General features: G+C 47.1%; 1 protein-coding gene across 6 annotated transcripts in view, besides 3 other annotated features; it reads left to right on the top strand.

Moving 5' to 3' along the window:
* LHFPL2 (LHFPL tetraspan subfamily member 2) overlaps positions 1 to 17498 on the top strand; it is a 163543-nt gene that overhangs the window by 102173 nt on the left and 43872 nt on the right. The gene's annotated exons all lie outside the window — the stretch shown is intronic.
* Positions 2317 to 3134: an enhancer, noted in NCBI's record as "H3K27ac-H3K4me1 hESC enhancer chr5:77839289-77840106 (GRCh37/hg19 assembly coordinates)". NCBI's record gives its function as "activates a minimal SCP1, AML or CMV promoter by ChIP-STARR-seq in primed H9 embryonic stem cells {active_cell/tissue: H9 hESC(primed)}" and the evidence as "EXISTENCE:reporter gene assay evidence [ECO:0000049][PMID:30033119]".
* Positions 3135 to 3954: an enhancer, noted in NCBI's record as "OCT4-H3K27ac-H3K4me1 hESC enhancer chr5:77838469-77839288 (GRCh37/hg19 assembly coordinates)". NCBI's record gives its function as "activates a minimal SCP1, AML or CMV promoter by ChIP-STARR-seq in primed H9 embryonic stem cells {active_cell/tissue: H9 hESC(primed)}" and the evidence as "EXISTENCE:reporter gene assay evidence [ECO:0000049][PMID:30033119]".
* Positions 13141 to 13640: an enhancer, noted in NCBI's record as "H3K4me1 hESC enhancer chr5:77828783-77829282 (GRCh37/hg19 assembly coordinates)". NCBI's record gives its function as "activates a minimal SCP1, AML or CMV promoter by ChIP-STARR-seq in naive H9 embryonic stem cells {active_cell/tissue: H9 hESC(naive)}" and the evidence as "EXISTENCE:reporter gene assay evidence [ECO:0000049][PMID:30033119]".

Genomic DNA, 17498 nt, shown 5'->3' with positions numbered 1-17498 from the left:
GAGGTTACTGAGAATCATGTGATAAAAAATATCATTTATGGAGAGCTTTCCATTTGTTGATCACTGTTTCTAGGATGCATTGCTCATCCTACAAAATGTAGGTTCTATTATTATCCCTGTTTCATGCATGGGGAAGCTGAGTCTTGAGGTTGAGTGGTTTGCCCAAGGATAAAGTAGTGGGGGTGGGGATAGGCCCTCTTGGCTAGAGCCGATGCCCTTGCATACACTGCTGCCGTGTCCCTCTCATGGTTTTAGTGAGTGGAGTGCCTCAGAACGGCTACTTTGAAAAGTGTCTTTCCTGCCAGAGATGCGGCTTTATGATCAATCCACTCAAAAATTGCCCCATATAAAGTTGAAATTTAATGTTGCATGTAAATGATCTTTATCGTAGAAAAGAGAATATAGAGAAAATAAGCCAGCAGTATAATCTTAACAATGTGTGCAAAAACTACGCAGACATGTACAGCCCTGAAAGTGTGCGTTTGTGCTTGGGTTTAATGGCTCACAGACGGTCACTCCAGAGTTTTTAGTGGTACCGTAGAAATTAGAACTCAGTAAGTAACATGACCAAGGTATAGGAGAGCAACTTTTGCACAGGTTTTAAGTTTTAAAGTTTGGGTATTTTTCTCAGATTGTATCTTAGTTTCTTCATTTCAGCCTCTGTATCATGGCCTTAGCTAAAGACTGAGAAGTAAGGATGAGTCTTTTTGAGGGTCTGCCCTTGACTGACTTCATACCCTTCCAAATGTATATGAACCAGTGTCTTATTCTTTATTCTGGCCAATAAGATTGTTCAGGCGAGTGTCTTAGATTCTGCAGAAAGTTATCTTCGGTCAGTTGACTCTGTTGGAACAAAGTAGGTCTCCTAAAGAGTGAATTTAACAGGCACTTAGGTTTGTTTTGATAGGTGCATTTGGAAAAGCTGGGACTGCTTGAGAAACTATTTCACAGCACATCCAGGTGGCTCGAATGATCGGCCTCCACGCATCACACCAAGTCTTTTTAAACAAGATGAACGCTGTAGTGAGTTCGTCTCATGGAGCAAGTGAGGCCCTCAGGGAGAAACATGAACTTATGTGGGTGCTTGGGAAGTATTGAATAATAACTCTTTCAAGCCATGAGGTCCCCATTTGCCTAGCAGACATTTATGAACAGTACCTTGGTGGCTTAAAAATGTTCATTTTCTTTCCCAAGTGCCTAACTCTCTTCCTGAAAGTAGTGTTTTCATTGAAGGCTTGGACCATGCTGGATCTTCACAGAGAAATCCTACTCTTGATTCTATAGCAGACAATGGTGACTTTGCTGAGATAGAGCCTTCGGTGTTGCCTCCTGATGGGGAATGTGTTGGGTAAGGGGGACATGAAGAAGTGGCTAAGTATCAGCCATCTAATACCCTGCAGATCGTATTGGAGCTGGACGTGAAGAAGCGCTCTCTGCGTGGTTTTGGACCAAATGGCTGTGAAAGTGTATGATCCGCCTCACAGTGACAAGCAGCTTGTCAGTGGTTTCCAAAACATCTGTCTCAAAGTGGCGGTTGAAATTCCTACAAGGGAGTGTTTCCATTCATTGTCCATGAGAAATGAGAGAGAGTGGGAGTGAGTGATGCACGATCCAGAGGAAATGCGTGCACTCTCCACTTGGGATTACAATGCAGATGAATTCCATATTTTGGTTAGGGAATTTTTTCTTTTAAAAAAAGAAAAGACAAGAAAGAAAAGCTTGTCGCTGTCCTGGTTACTGAAAAGCAGACTAAAATGGAGTTAAATGCAGGCTGGAACGTTCATTTCAGCTGGATTTTTTTTTCTGTTTTGGGGTGTGTGTGTGTATACGTGTGTGTGTGTGTGTGTAAGAAGATGGCCTGGGACTTCCTGGCACACTTTTCTGCCTTTGGCCCCAGTTTCCCACCAAGGTGGCCTGACCTTGCTGATGAGTCACTTTAAAACTGCTGCGGTCAGCAAGCTGTGGCTCCGTCACTGCATCCGCACAGATCAGCTACTTGAAGATTCAGACAACTGCTACATATACATCCTATTAACAAAAATCACAACAGAGGTTTTCCCAGCTAAAGTTTTACTGTAAAAATGGTAGCCCTATAAGAAAGCCACTATTAGTTTTCATTTAGAGATTTTTTTTTATGTCTACCCCTGTCCCCTACTATGTCAATTCAGGAGTGCTGAAGCCGATTTGCTTTTGTATATTGTGTTCAAAATGTGCTACCTGTAATGATGCAAAACCAAAGACCTGAGCTCTGCTTTACCCTCTGAGGTGTCGTGCAATAGATATTTATTGCAGACCTGCTCTGTGTGCCAGATGCCTGTGCAAGGATGCAGTGTTGCCTGTGGGAGAGACACATGATCCCCTCTTGGAGTTTACTGTCTACAGCAGCTGGGGTGTTGAAGTTCTCACAGGTTGGGGGCTTCAAGTAAGAGGACAAACTATATCTGGAAGACAGCCACGTGGGAAGCTGCCATAACAAGGGACTCTGAATGGGCAGGTCAAGCCATTGCTGTCCTGGCACTGGTGGGTGGTCAGTGATTGTCCTCAGCACTCCCTCAGTGCCCTTCACTAGAGCCAGGGAAGAGTGCTTGCCAGCCTGCCCCTCTCACCTGGGCATATCTGCCACTGGAGGTAGATTGACTTCCACCATTCTGAGTCTCTGCTATCTCCACCTGGAATTGCAAGAGACAATCAAAGGCAAAGTCAGACTCTCCCCTCCACCTCCCGTCCCAAGTCATCTTCTCTGCCTTTAGTTCACGTGCAGCAATGGCATGATGTCTTGCTCTAATCTTCCTATTTTGTCCTTGTCACTATACACACATCTCACCTGTCTCCCTTAGTCCTCCAGCTGTGTGTTCCTGAAGGTGACTTGACTTGCTGAGGAAAGGGTCGCTCTTCAGCCTCACCTTGGTCCCCTGTATCCTGGGGATTTCTGGGACCTGCAGCCCTAGTGGGGCTGCCCTGGGCTTTGCTGGCTCCTGACCTCATCCCTGCAGCCAGAAGGCCAGGCCTGGGGTCTGAGGATTCTCTCAGGGACAAGGCTGAGGGCTTGGCTCTCCTACTGTGCCGCACTCTCTCAGAGGGGCAGTGAGGGAGAATGGCCAGGTGGAGGCCCACCTGGAGCCCAGAGAGCTCTGTGGATGCATGCTGTGCCCCTGCTTGTAGGGACAGAGCCCCAGGGAGATTCCCACTGAAGCAGCCTCGTTGTCTGGGGTGATACCTGAAGTTCGTTGTCTCACTGAGGAAATCAAGGACGTGGACACACAAGGAATGAGGTTAGGAGGAGAAATTTAAAAGGCAGAAGAAAGAGAATGGCTGTCTCTGTTGCAGAGAGAGGGGTCCCAAACAGGTTGCCGATCTGCGGTGAAATGCAAAGGGTTTTATAGATGCCGGGTGAGGAGGTGGTGTCTGGTTTACATAGGGCACAAAAGATTGGTTGGACCAGGTGTGCCATTTGCATAGGGTGCAAATTTCTGGTAGCCCCCCACCATCTTTTATTATGCAGGTAGGTTCTCTGCCTGGCCTGCACCATGCTGCCTATTCCTTTAACACAGCTGCTGGCATTCCCCCATGCAAGCTTCCAGCTTGCCTGTCTTTGCTTGCAGCTCGATTTTTCAGGCTGCTCTTTGTTAGGAAAAAATAATTTCTTGGGCTGCGTTTTGTTAAAAGAGGACTCTTTTACCCTCACTATCTGCCTAAGTAATTTCTTTCTACCTTCCATATCACCATTGGCACTTAAGGAGCATTCACTGAGTGTGAGGCCCTGTAGGGGATGTGAAGGTGAGTCCTGAGGATTTGGACCTCAGGGTGCATGTGCACTGTCTAGTAAGGGAGCAAAGGTGTCCTCTGAAGTCCACCAGGCTGTAGAGAGTACCTATACCATCAAAGTGGCCCAGATAGAGACCAGACCCCTTTCAGTGGGAGAAGCAGTCTGAAAGGCAAGGCTTCCCTGGAAGAGGTGGCCTTGAGCTGTCTCTTGAAGGGCAGGCGAGAGGTGTGCATGTGGAGATGAGGGTGGAAGAGGTGGCATGAGCACGGCGTGGAGGTGGGCTTCAGCAGGAAATCCATTTGGCTGGAACTGCCCAGATCAGGGGGAAGGCTCAGCTCTGTCAGAGCCTCCCAGCCCCCGGGATGCAAGCAGAGCAGCAGAGCTGGAGAAGCCCACTAGGGTGATTCCTGGAAGTCCCAGGAAGCCATTTACAAGCAGCCTTTGCTTGTGGATTCGACAAAGGGGACAAAGGGACAAGGGCGCTTGGATGTGGCAGCTCTGTAAGAGTGGGCTTCTTTGATTGGCCTACTGGTGTGGTCACAGCAGCATTTCCCATTCAGAAACTGGAGCCTCTCAAGGGACCCCACTGGGGAAAGCCAGCCCTGGGGTGATGTGAGGCCTGCTGGAGATCAGAGCTGGCACATAGTGCTGGAGAATTTATTTTTGAAGGATGTGGAAGGAGTTGGACAAAAGCTTAATGACATTAAAAAAAAAAAAAGCTTAATGACAGTGGTCTTTTAAAACAAATCCAAAGGGTCGCAGAGCTATTAAATTCCTGTAATTTAAGGATTCTACAGTTGCAAATGGCTTCCCTTTTGAAATGGACCCTTGTCATAATTCAAACTCTAGGTATTCTAACATTATTTCCACCATAGAAAGATATTTTTTAAAGTGAGATGCTTTTTATAAAAAAAATGTAACTTAACCACTGTGGTTCTGGCTTCTACCATCTTCAGGCTAGGTGGGCACAAGCTAGCGGCTGCCCTCCTCCTAATCAGGTCGCAGGCACTCCAAGGCTGCTTTACTTATGACCATTTTCCTGCCATGCAAGTCTGAACTGAAAGTTCTCTTTTGTGTGGCTTTTGCAGCACAGTATTTTATGGATTTATGTTTTATGTTCTTCCCCCTCTTGAGTGTTATTGGATCCCCAGTCACCGGAAGGCTGAGATCTGTTTTAGTAACTGATTTATCAGGTGGCAGGCTGGTCACACACCTCACTGCAAGAGTTTATGAAAGGGACCCCCACCTCCTTCCCCAAAATCTTTGTGACCAGCTCAGTCATGAGCTCCTGACAGAGTGAACTGGGCCGGGGACTGACTTTGCGTTTTCCACACCAGAGTAAATGTGAAACGGCTTTAGCAAGTGGGCTGTGCGGTTTGAAATATGAACTCTGTAATCTCTTCAGTGGCTCCCACATCCCAGGGCTGCGCTTTGGGTAATTCAGGAGTGGGCAGGAAACTTCAGAGGAAACACTCCTAAGACCATGGGGCCTTGGTCAGTGAGTTCCTATTTTGCTGTCAGTGACTACTTAGAAGATGCTGTCCCCACCTTCGCCCCCTCCCTCTAGTTGCCCAAATGTCTTACCTCCCCCAGCTTCACTCGGGCTAGTGGAGGTCTTCTTAGACTTCTTTCAAGGCGGAGGATTTAGAGTCTGGGGTGAAGTGGCGGTGATGGATGGCTGGGGACGTGGGGCTGCTGACTCAATGGTGATACATCAAGCAGTTAATTAAGGGACAAGTTATCTTCTAAGTGGGAGGTAAAGGATTTTCTGTTCCTTTGTTCTTAATGCTCATATTAATGCCATTTTCCCTCATGGAGACCTCAGGCTGTGCTTAAAACGCTTCCATAATTCCTTTTGGCACTGCTAGAGGTCAGCATTGTCCACTCGTGAAGGACACAGGTAAGTCACAGACATTGGGGCTTCCTGGTTGTTAAAGGCCAAGAATGTGGGATGAAAACCCCCCGTGTCCCCATAGCAAGTTAGGGGTTGCTCAGCAGGGCTGTTTTCATTCAGACAAGCAGCTCATTCCAAACCAGCCCCAGAGAGCCGCTTCAATAAGCCATTGTCTGCCCCAAGGAGGAGGAGCTGTTGTCCAGGGCTGTGGTTAATGCAGTGACATTGGTAGTTGTTCCAACAAGTCAAAGCTGGTTACAGAGAGGCAGCAGTGACAGGATGCTTGAATAAATGCCTTGGACCACAGGTGCCAGGAATTCTCCCACGCATCTCTCCGGCCTCCCATCTCAGAGACCTACCATCACCAGTGTGGGGCCCCTCTCTGCCAGTTCCTGCTGGTGGCCCTATGTGTTCTGAAGGCCATGAATGGGAGGCTATGGTGGTTCCTAAAAAGGATGGCTGAGGCCAGGATCTGAGGCCTGTTGCAATCAGTGACTGATATTTTGGAACCGAAAGGAGGAACTTGCATGAAACCATTGTTTTTGGAAAGATACATCATGTTTTTTCCATCAGTTTTGCAGCATTGGCAGATAAAATGCTGCAGCCCAGACAGACATCATCTCCAGTCCCTTTTTAAGGAAACAAACAAACAAGACAGTGACCCAATTCAGTCCTTTTTCATTTATTATACCAAAGAAAACTGGAAGAGTTCCATTTCGTAGTTCAGTTAACATAAAACATGTCTCTTAGCGTACAGGCAGTGGGTATTGATGGGCATAGTATGTATTTTGTTGATTACATTGCTTAGCACTTTGCTAGTGCAAAAAAAGTCTGTTTTGCCTGAAAGAAAAATTGTGTACGTGTGTGCACTTCTAAAAACTTCCATTGGTAACACACTCTGCCAGTCACCTCTGGAGGCCATTTAGAATTCTTGTAGAGACTCATACAGCCTATATGAAATATTGAGAGAACATTAAATGCTCGACTGTGTGGTCCTAACCAAGCACAGTGGGAGATCAGAGAAGGGAGAGATTTGTGTGGCCAGAATGGAATTTAAAAATATATCTTAATAACTTTGAAGGGAAGCAAATGAAAATGCTAACTTAAAAAAAAAAAAAAAAAAGCAAAAGTCTTGCCTGGTTCATGTAGAAGTTGTTAGTGGGGCAAGAAAAATGCCCAGTGTGGCTTAGCAGGCTATGTGGTTTTAGGACTGCATCCCACCAACTCAGATGCTGATGTGGGCAGCCTGTCCGGAGACCCCACAGACTGCAGAGCCTCATTCCCATCCCTGGGTGATGGTGTGGGGGGTTTGGAAGTCCTCAGTTTCAGTACAAGGTGGGATAGTCTGAGATGATGGAAAAGTCAGTTAACAAACACCTGTTGAGCACCATGTGTAATAATAGCAGTAACCACCTTAACTGAGTGCATACGATATACCGTATGCTAAGCACTTTACCATCTTTTATTTCTCAGAGTAAGTCAGTGAAATAGTAAGCTAAGTGCCACCTCCGACTTCACAGATAAGGAAACAGGCTTCAAGGGTTGTCTTGAGGGGTTCACTTCGTTCACTTAATTCACTTAGTTCCTGCTATAAAAAAATACCTCAGTCTGGGTAATTTTAAAGAACAGACATTTATTTCTCACAGTTCTGGAGTCTGGGAGGTCCAAGACCAAGGTGCCAGCAGTGGTGTCGGGTGAGGGCTGCTATCCGCTTCCAAGATGGCACCTTGCTGTTGTGTCTTCACGTGGCCGAGGGCAGAAGGGTACACAGGCACTCCCTTCAACCCCAAGCCCTTTTGGAAGGATGCTGATCCCATCCGTGAGGGTGGGACTCTCATGACTTAATTACCTCCCAAAGGCCACACCTCTTAATACCATTTTGTGGGGGATTTCAGCATGAATTTTGGTGGGAATCATCATTCAAACCATAGCAGGTGTCAAGTGCCTTGCCTAGGGTCATTATGTCGCCATTGGAGAGCAGAGCTAGGAATTTGAAGTAGGTTGCAGACTATGGCTCATGCTCTTAAGGATTATGCTTTCTGGTGTGTGGTTGGTGCTAGGTCACTGGACAGTACAAAGGATACGTGGTGTGTGGCTGCAGACCTGAGGCAACCTGTGCATCTCAAAGACAATGGGACTATATGAAGGGGCAGCTTATACTGTGGGTGCTCCTGTCCCCACACAGGGATCATATGGAGAAAGTGAAACTGTGCCCGTGCAGGTGTGGCTTCTCACCTTCAGAGTCAGTGGAAAGAATAAGCAGATGCAGGTGATGGTGTCATGGGCAGGTGTTGTTGTTGTTGATTTTGGACACAACTGTAGTCTCTCCTGTGGTATAGTCACACATTCAGGTAGATAGCAGGAATGAGTAAGACAGGATGGTGTGAGGCAATATGAAGTATTGGAGACTGGGACAAACTAGAATACTGTGTTGTGTCTAACAGAGCAGCCACTTCTTACCTCTAATCACCTGTTGTCACGTTGACATGTGGGCCCAGTATTGATAGATGCACTGAGATTTTTCCCCCTAGAAAAGCAAAGAACCTGGCAATTTTACATTTATTCTCCAATCTTTGAATGTTTGCTATTAATTTAAAAAAATGTTTAATGAGCCACCTGTTGTATATAAGGCTTCAGTTTGAAATCTTTGGAGAAGTAGGAGTAGAAATTGAGACATGAACGTTGGAACCCCCAGAATAACAGACTAGGAGCAGCAAGTGTGTCTCACTTTGTCAATCTACATCAGGTGACTGCAGCCCACATCAGCCTTTCATAAGCTTTCGTGTGCCTGTGAATCACCTGGGGATCTTGTTAAAACATAGATCCTGATTCAGGAGTTGCAGATGGCTGAGATGCCGCAGGACTAGGGGCTCTATTGAGAAGATTCTAAGGCAGCCTCTAGGCTGAGTGGGGGAAAGTACTGTGATGAAGTAGTGCCATCTACTGTGAGCAAAGAAAAGGGAAATGGCCTCACACATTCCCCATCCCTGTAGCGCCCCAAGATAGGTAAATCATGCGTTTATGGCCATTTCCAGGTTTCCCCTAAAAGTCAGAATTTGAGCTAGATGAGAAGCTTTCGCATTTTATATCCTTTTAATGCACACTCTTCCACTTAAGATAAACTTGGATGTATACCTCTATCATCTGGGAAGTTGGGATTAGAATATCAAGCTTTCAACTTGGGTGGGATAAAGGGAGAGTTAACTGATTAGCTCTCCCTTCTTTCCGTTACATTTTGAGGGTGAAAAATATGTCTTGCACATGTTAGTGTTCTGTTACTTCCATGTGGCCTTGGCGCCTCTTTAACGTGGGGTCCGTGTGGGAGGAAAGAGTGGGTGCTGAGGAAATTGCTTTGAGCAGAAATCATCTTGTTTCCATTCACTAAGAGCTGTTCTTGGATCTCTTCTCCAGGTCCCTTGCCTGTGTCCAATGCCCTTGGAATTGTATGCCAGGAAACAATATAATCTTTCTAATTGGGCAAAGCGGGAGGAGAGAGACTGGGTGAGCCAGGATGGGCTGGCAATTGACACCTAAAAATAGATCTTTTTTTTCCCACGAATAACCATTTTTGGGGGGCAAGAAGCCTTGCACATTTCTAACCATCTGGGACAAACATCACCTTGGCAGGTCAAGGGAGGCAGCTGATGGGGCCAGGGTGCAGCCAGGTGGGTGGAATGCCAGCCAGAGTGATGTTGCTATGGCAGCTGGGCCCCTCGGAGAAAGCTTCAGTGGCCTCCAGGGAGCAGAGGTGGATCTCAGATCTGGGGCCAGAGCATGTGTGTAGGGAATGAGTGGGAAGAGGACAGTCGTAGAGCAGCGCTTCTTAAACTTTAATGTGCCTGTGAATGTGAAATGCAGATTCCGATTCAGTGGGTCTGGGTTGGGGTCTGAACTTCCACAGTTCTCACAAGCTCCTAGGTGCCACCAACGCTGCTGGTCCAGGGAGCACACTTAGAGGAGCAAGGGGCTGGAGCGCTTCTGTGATCTTCAGGGCTTTAAGGAAGACTGAAGGCGGACACACAAGGAAGTTACCCTGCTCAATTTTTGTTGAATTTGGCTGAAGCTGGAAAAAAGCCAGTGTTTGACAGCTGTTTCTTGTCATATTGTCATCCTATAACGTTTTTGCTGCATGGTGGTGGTGGCACTTATATAAGGACAAGATTACAAGTGTTGTATATTGTGATTTTACTGGTAAAAATGCATATGGCTGGGTAGAATCTGAACATTGTATAATAGACATAATGACTTAATTCAGAAAAACACAGCCCTGAGCTAGCTGATGAATAACTGAGACTGTCCTAAAATAATGGAATAGGCTTTACGAGAATTCTAAGGGCAGAAGAATGGCCCAGATGTGGAAACTGTGAGGTAAAAATCATTTTGGTCATTTAAAATTTTCATGAGGATGTAGGTAGTTTTTCCCTTTGGGGAAGAATAAAACCATTCCCTGAGAGGCCAGAGTTCTTACTGGGCTCTGTGGTCTCTTGGAGAACAAATTAGACAAGGCCATGTTTGGGAGAGAAAAAGGCCAGAACTTGTGTTGGTTCTATGAGTTGTTGAGATTTATCCCAGAGGCAAAGAGTAAGTGACACTCGCCTATTTTCTTGGAGGGCTTTCCTCTGGATGGGTCTTTTTTCTGGGCGCCCGGCCGACTGCTTGCATCTGGACAGTAGGGGCAACAGCCATTTACAGTGCCACGGCCAAGCCCCACTTGGTACGGCATCCTCCCCTCCCCAGCCCCGAAATGAGTTCTGCATCCCATTAGCTGTTTCTGATCCCCCCACTCTCCATGGGATCACGTTCAGCCACTGGGGCCTTTTTGAGACTCTCTTGCATTGGCCTGTTCTTGATATGGGCTCCTGATAAGCGTTAGTTAGCTTTGGTATGGAAGCTGTGACTGGTGGTCTTCATAGAAGAAAGGCCAGGAATACCTCTGCACAGGTGTCCCACACGCCATGTGACTCCCATGTCCCCATGGAGAATGCCTAGGTCCCCGTAGGGCATAAACAGTTATTCTGATGCTCAGAACTCTGAGACTGGGGGGCTCCCACTTGTGATTTTGATACTAACCTATAGATTGTTATGAGTTCGTGTCAGAGTCCGGCACCTGTTGTCATGTGAAATGTTGAGGTCAGGTCTGGGAGGAGCCACAGCCTGCCCTTCCCCAAGGTGTTCCCCCTGCCGTAAGGAAGCTACAGCCATGCGGCAGTGTCGGGGCTAGATAGGAGCTCCAGAGGCGCCCCCAGCCACAGGCTTGGTGGGGAGTGGGTCTCAGCCTCACCCACCTACTGCAGCATCAGCATTGGGGTGGGAGCTGAGCTAGCAGGTGGAGCAGGCTTGGGAGGAGACAGCGCTGGGGGCTGACGGTGAGGGAGGGGCCTTCTCTCTCCTGGCCCCTTTAGTGTCCCCTGGCTGCTCTGGCTTTGTGTGGCTCTGGTGGGAGAGGGGGTCCTAGGTCGTCTTTGCTCTCCTTTATTCCTCCCCTCACACTAGCCATCGTGGACAATCCCCTCTTCCCTTTGGGAGGCACTGAGAGATGAGGCAGGCAGCAGGGGGTGAGATGGGAAGGGAGGCAGCTCCAGATCTGGGGAATCTGAGGGGGGTCTGTCTGTCAGTGTCTGTGTCTGTCCTCCCTGATTTGCTCAGGGAGGAGGTGGGTGGAAGGCCAGGACCCTGCCTACGTGGGCGCTCAGCGTAGTGCCAGTTCAGGACTGTCCGTGCAGCCCCTCGGCAAATGGCCTGCTCTGGCGACACCACTCCTTGATGTCTGACCCTGTGGCGTGGCTTGGGGTTCAGATGAAGCCTCATTTCCTCTTGTGGGATTCAGAGGAAGAAAATGTAATGGAACCAGTTCTAGAACACTAGAAAATGGGCTTTCTCTCCTCCTAAGAAGTCGTTGGGTTTTTTCCGTACATTCCAACAAACTTGTTCAGCTTATGACAAAATGCCATTAAAGCTTTTAAGTTTTTGCCGTCAACTTACAGTAGAGGGCAAAAAATAATATTCTAAGATCTGCAAAGCTGAAGTTGAGGCGGCCGTGTGACTTTGGCAGTGTTTCTCCCCAGGCCTTGCCCCTGCCTCTACCCGCTCCCACACATGTTGGCAGGTCCGGGGAGTTTTGCCAGGACGGCAAGGTGGCTGGAAGTGGAGGAGCTTGCTGTGATTTCATGGCACCATTTGCTGTTGATGGGGCCTCCTGACAAAACACTGCCTGTTTGGGCTGAGAAGGCCCTGGGCCTTCGGTGACGGACTGGAAGCCAAAGCTAAAGCCATTGCTTCCCTCAAGGACCTGGAGCCGCTTCAGTGACATGGGAAGGAGGGAAGATGGGCCCTACGTCTGGAGTTCCACTGTTCTGTTCCTATTTTGCTTTGAGTCAGGAAAAGAAAACCCAGCAGTCACAAGGCACCAGAGTGAGTCAGCGCTGGGGAGGGCGGTGGAGGCCGCGGAATGGGGGAGTCATAGACACGGGTGCTGTGAGGGTCCTGCAGCCGCTCCCTTGCTCACAGCCCTGTCCTTTGTGGGGGAGCCTGCTACGGCCCTGGAAGAGCAGTGCAGCCTGCTCGAGGACACACGGCTGGAGGCAGAGCAGCTCCCTGGACTCCCGGCCATTTCTCCCTCTCGGCGTCATGGTGATTCCCAGGAGGCCTGTGCTTCCTGTCCTCTCTGTGGAGCACACTGCGGGGCCCAGGCCCAGGGGCCGCCTCTCCTGTTCTCTCGACCTACGGCTCCTGAGAGCCCCCTCTGCTGTCCCTCCAGGAGGGACTCCAGGGGACTGTACAGCCAGGTCTCTGGACCCCTGAGAGCCTCCGACATGTACCCTCCTGGGGCAGTGGGTCCAGCCTTGTTGTTGTCATATCCCTCCTCTCCCTGCCCCAGCATCGGTGATTGGATGTGTCTCCTTGCTGGGCCTTCCTGTGGAGCCCTGCTCTCCTGAGTGGTCCGGGAAGGTCGCACGAAGCTCCTCCCTGGAGCATTTGGCATCTCTGCTGGGCTGCAGGAGGGCTCAGGCCTCCACTCCTCTGTTGTACTAATAGCATCTCTGGCATCTTTTTTCTTTCTTAGAGCAATGGTTTAAAACCCGAGGCAGGGCCTGTAGATTTGGAGGGGAGTGGTGGACCTCAGGTTTAAAAAATTCAATAAAACAGCTTCAGTTCTGGGAATGAAAAGCAACAATTTCAGGTGTTGATAAATGCTTGGCAGAGTTCTTTTTCTCTTTTCAGAGCTGATCCTGCAGATGAGGTTTTGGCACATGGCTTATGACTTAGCCCCTACAAGCAGGCAGAAATGTAAATGATGCTTGCTTTTCTTCTGCTTAAAAGGGTGCTCTGACCAGATTATAAACCTTTAGTTCAAGCACTGACATTGTTCTAGCCATAGAGGGCGTTTTTCCCTCTGTCTTTCATTCAAGGTGATAGAAGAGCTGTGCTTATACTTACCTTTTCCATAGCATCCTACACCGCCCATCCCCTACTCTCACAGCGTGAACAGGACTTTTACAAACTAATACTTGTTTATTACCATTTCTTCTCATATGCATTTGTCATAAGTCTTCTAAGGAATTTCACCAGGCAGCACTTTGTTCATATGGTTGGCATTACTCTCATACCTAATAGATAGAACAGAGCTTCATTTCTTTAAAAACATCTTACGGTGAAGGCTCAATGTTCAGTGCTCCTCAGCCTCTATCTTCATATAGTGATGTTTCTCTTTTATTGGGAGCAGTATCAGGAATGGGGGAGATATCTTCTGGAATCTTGGTTTGTGAAAAGCTGACGGCACTGACCTGGACCTAAGGAATTAGTTTTCACCCCCGTAGAGCAGTAAATCCTTAGCATCCTGAGGAGGCAGAGGGTTTGGTCTACTCGGCCACATCGGTAAGGCTGTGAGTGGACTCAGAGAGGGAGAGGAGAGAGGACAAGAGATGGTCCCTGAAGTCAGTGGCCACCGCCCAGTCTGCAGCACGACAGGGTTGTTGGCACCACGGGCCTCACTCGGTGTGTCCCTTTGTCCACGTGCAGCAGGCCCACGTGCTGTCAGCCTGGCTCACCATTGGGGAAAACATTTCTAATCCCTGCCCCTCCCTGATTTTTGCCTCTGACATTACTTGAAAGGCAAGTGAAATGATCATGGTAATAGTAAACTGACCCTAGAATTGTCAGGGTGAAAAGGCTGGTGTTTTGGTTAATAAGATGGAAAAAGTGGCATCTCGGTGGCATTTCTCTAGAACAGCCCCATTTAAATGACGGTGATGGTTTTATTATTCAGTTTTTTAAAAAAGGATTCATAGTATCTCAGTGAAGAACTGCATGTATCAGTTATTAACTGAAACCTAATGATGGTGCTTTAAACAAATTAAAAGTTTTGTTGTTTCCAGGTAACAGAAGAGATCCCGAAGCAGGTGGACTACGGTGTTAGCTTCATGATGTCATCAGGGCCCCAGGCTCTTTCTGTCTTTCTGCTTCATCATCAATAGCACAGGACTTTCATTCCCTAAGTCCCCCATGGCTGTAGGATGACCACAGGAGGCTTTATGGCCACATCTCTTAGCAGGAGAAAAGCCAAGGTCAAAGCTGAGTCAGGGTTAGGTGCAATGGCTCATGTCTGTAGTCCCAGGACTTTAGGAGGCCAAGGCAGGTGGATCGCTTGAGCCCAGGAGTTCGAGATGAGCTTGGGCAACATGGCAAAACCCCATCTCTACTAAAAATACAAAAATTAGGCTGGGCGCAGTGGCTCACACCTGTAATCCCAGCACTTTGGGAGGCTGAGCCGGGTGGATCATTTGAGGTCAGGAATCCGAGACCAGCCTGGCCAACATGGTGAAACCCCATTTCTACTAAAAATACAAAATTAGCTGGGTGTGGTGGCACGTGCCTGTAATTCCAGTTACTCAGGAGGCTGAGGCAGGAGAATCACTTGAACCTGAGAGGTGGAGGTTGCAGTGAGCCAAGATTGTGCCACTGTACTCCAGCCTGGGTGACAGAGTGAGACTCTGTCTCAAAAAAAAAAAAAAATTAGCCGGGCATGGTGGTGCTGCTTGTACTCCCAGCTACACAGGAGGCTGAGGTAGGAGGATCGCTTGAGCCCAGGAGGCAGAGGTTGCAGTGAGCCGAGATCATACCACTTGTGCTCCAGCTTGAGAGACAGATCGAGACCCTGTCTCAAGAAAGAAGCTGAGTCAGATCCCTTTTAAGAGCTTTCACAGAAGTCCATCCCCATCTCATTGGCCACTGTATCTGCAGAGGAGGTTGAGAAATGTAGGCTTTTGAGCCGGGCCCATTGCTACCCCATCAAGTAGGGTTTTATTCAGGGCCAGGACTGAGGTGGGGTGAGTAAGACATTCACCTTTGGTGCATAATTTAAGGGGGCACCAAGAAACTCAATCGTCAAGGTAAAGAATGTTTTATTTCAGTATAGCAGTGCCATAGTGGAACCTGAGGCAAAAAGAAAGGAATGCTGATGCTATCTTTATTTTAAAAATTGATGTTTTGTTCATTGTGAATTTTTTTTTTTTTTTTTTTTGAGATGGAGTTTTGCTCTTGTTGCCCAGCCTGGAGTGAGTGCAGTGGCACGATCTGTGCTCACCACAACCTCTGCCTCGTGGATTCAAGCGATTCTCCTGCCTCAGCCTCCCCAGTAGCTGGGATTACTGGCATGCACCACCATGCCCGGCTAATTTTGTATTTTAAGTAGAGACGGGGTTTCTCCATGTTGATCAGGCTGGTCTCGAACTCCCGACCTCAGGTGATCCGCCTGCCTCAGCCTCCCAAAGTGCTGGGATTATAGGCGTGAGCCACCATGCCCGGCTCATTGTGAATTTTTAAATTTTGATTTTAAGAATATTGTATAATAAAATATTATTTATCATGATTAAACCATTTTGCACCCCCTTAAATTTTGTGCCTCTGCTGAGTCCTACTCTATGCCAGGCCTGGCCATAGGTTCTGTTAATGAAGAAGGGGAGAATGGGTATTGGGTAGGAACCTAGCAGTCTCTGCCAAAGAAATGTTACCCTCTGCTTACTCAAATCCTTGCATTGCTGGTGATGAAATGAGTAAACTTGTAGTTGAAGGGACACCGTTGTCAAGGCAGGGGCTATGGGGCATTCTTTCTGCCACCCAATACCTGATAAGAAACAATCCTAATCCTTCTAGAATAAATGGGCAGTCATATCTTCATATTTGCATATGGAATTCTCTGGCAGGTACAGGTGTTGTTGGTGACCAAGGATGAGTCTGTGTGGTCAGAGTCTTATGATCAGTTTGGGTTCCATGTTATAAAAGTGATTAATAAGGCCTGACCCAATAGGTACAGAGTCAGCAGCCATGGAGCATGGAACTTCTGGGAAGAACCACTGACTCACAAGGCCTTATCAGTTGCTGTAGAACTCAGGGCAAATGACCTCACTCCATGATGGACGCTTTGAGGAAGGGAATAAATGAATAAATACATCATATCTAGGGAGAACTCACTCCCCAGCACCCTGTTCCGTGTGTAGACAAATCTCTTGGGATGACTGTTTATGGTTCAGCCTGATTTCATGTGAACCTTCTTAGTGGTTATGCTTCTACAAGAAGTATTAGAGAAACAGTAGACTAAAGCCACATGTATATGTGAAACCAAAAATGGTTAATTTTCTGTTTTTAAATACTAATGGTATAATTTGATTATTAGAGACATGGGTTAGAATTTTTTCATTATTTTTAACAGTCACTTGGTATTTCAGAGAAACTCATTTTTTAAATTAAAAAATTAAAAATTTAAAAAAATTATTTGCAATTTTGAAAAAATTTTACTGATGATGTTTAGCTATGAATTGGAATGTCCTTGAGTAATTTACTAAAAATAATGTGCCTGATGGATCTTATGGCTTAACTTGGCATGGGCAAAATGGCATTTGCCCAATCTTCTGTTCTGGGAACTAGTTTATTTTCTCTCCCTTCTTCCAGTTTCCACAAATTTGGTCTTGCAGGTAGATTTTATTGTAATTTTTAAAATAAGTTGTAAATCAGTTAATACCTGAAATAAAAAGACAAGTGCTGTTGGAAGAGTTGGTACATTCATGAGCCTGATTTTTGCAAAGATATTAAAAAACATTTTGTGGGTATGATTCACACCCTGATGCTTTTATAAATTCTTGCATTGCACAAATTTATGATTCAGTCTGTCAGATGATTTCCTTCCTTGAGACTCTCTAATATTGCAAAAATTCAGTGATTTGTTTCACAAATTCTTTCATCTGTCTCGTCATGTAATGCTTTCTGTTCTTAAAGCTGTGAGCATTTTCTTTTTTTTTTTTGAGACGGAGTCTCGCTCTGTCGCCCAGGCCGGACTGCGGACTGCAGTGGCGCAATCTCGGCTCACTGCAAGCTCCGCTTCCCGTATGCTACATGCCAGCCTTGCTGCGTGGCCTGGCTCCATCCTGCACCAACCCCCTGTTACTGCTAGGCTGCAAAATGCTTTCCAGGGGCAATGTGTGGCTTCATGCTTCAGGGAAAAGTGTTATACTTTCTCTCTGCTTTTCAACCTTTCACAGGAATACTGTGACAGTAAAGCGAGGTCATCAGTAAGAGTCCTTTTCAGTTCTTATGAAGGCAGTTGCTACAGGATTCCAGGTGTTGGTCTGCGCAAACTTTTAATTCTTATTATTTATTTAGAAATAGGTCCTCACTCTGTTGCTCAGGCTGGAGTGTAGTGGCACAATCATCGCTCACTGCAGCCTTGAACCCCTGGGCTCAAGTGATCCTCCCACCTCAGCCTCCTGTGTAGCTGGGACTACAGGCGCATGCCACCATGTCTGGCTAATTAAATTTTTCTTTTTTTTTTTTTCAGAGACGTGG

The sequence above is a fragment of the Homo sapiens genome, chromosome 5, assembly GCF_000001405.40.
Source record: "Homo sapiens chromosome 5, GRCh38.p14 Primary Assembly".
In the NCBI taxonomy this organism is placed as follows: domain Eukaryota; kingdom Metazoa; phylum Chordata; class Mammalia; order Primates; family Hominidae; genus Homo; species Homo sapiens.
The sequence above is the reverse complement of the archived record's forward strand: the minus strand, read 5'-3'. Positions and strand labels throughout refer to the sequence as shown.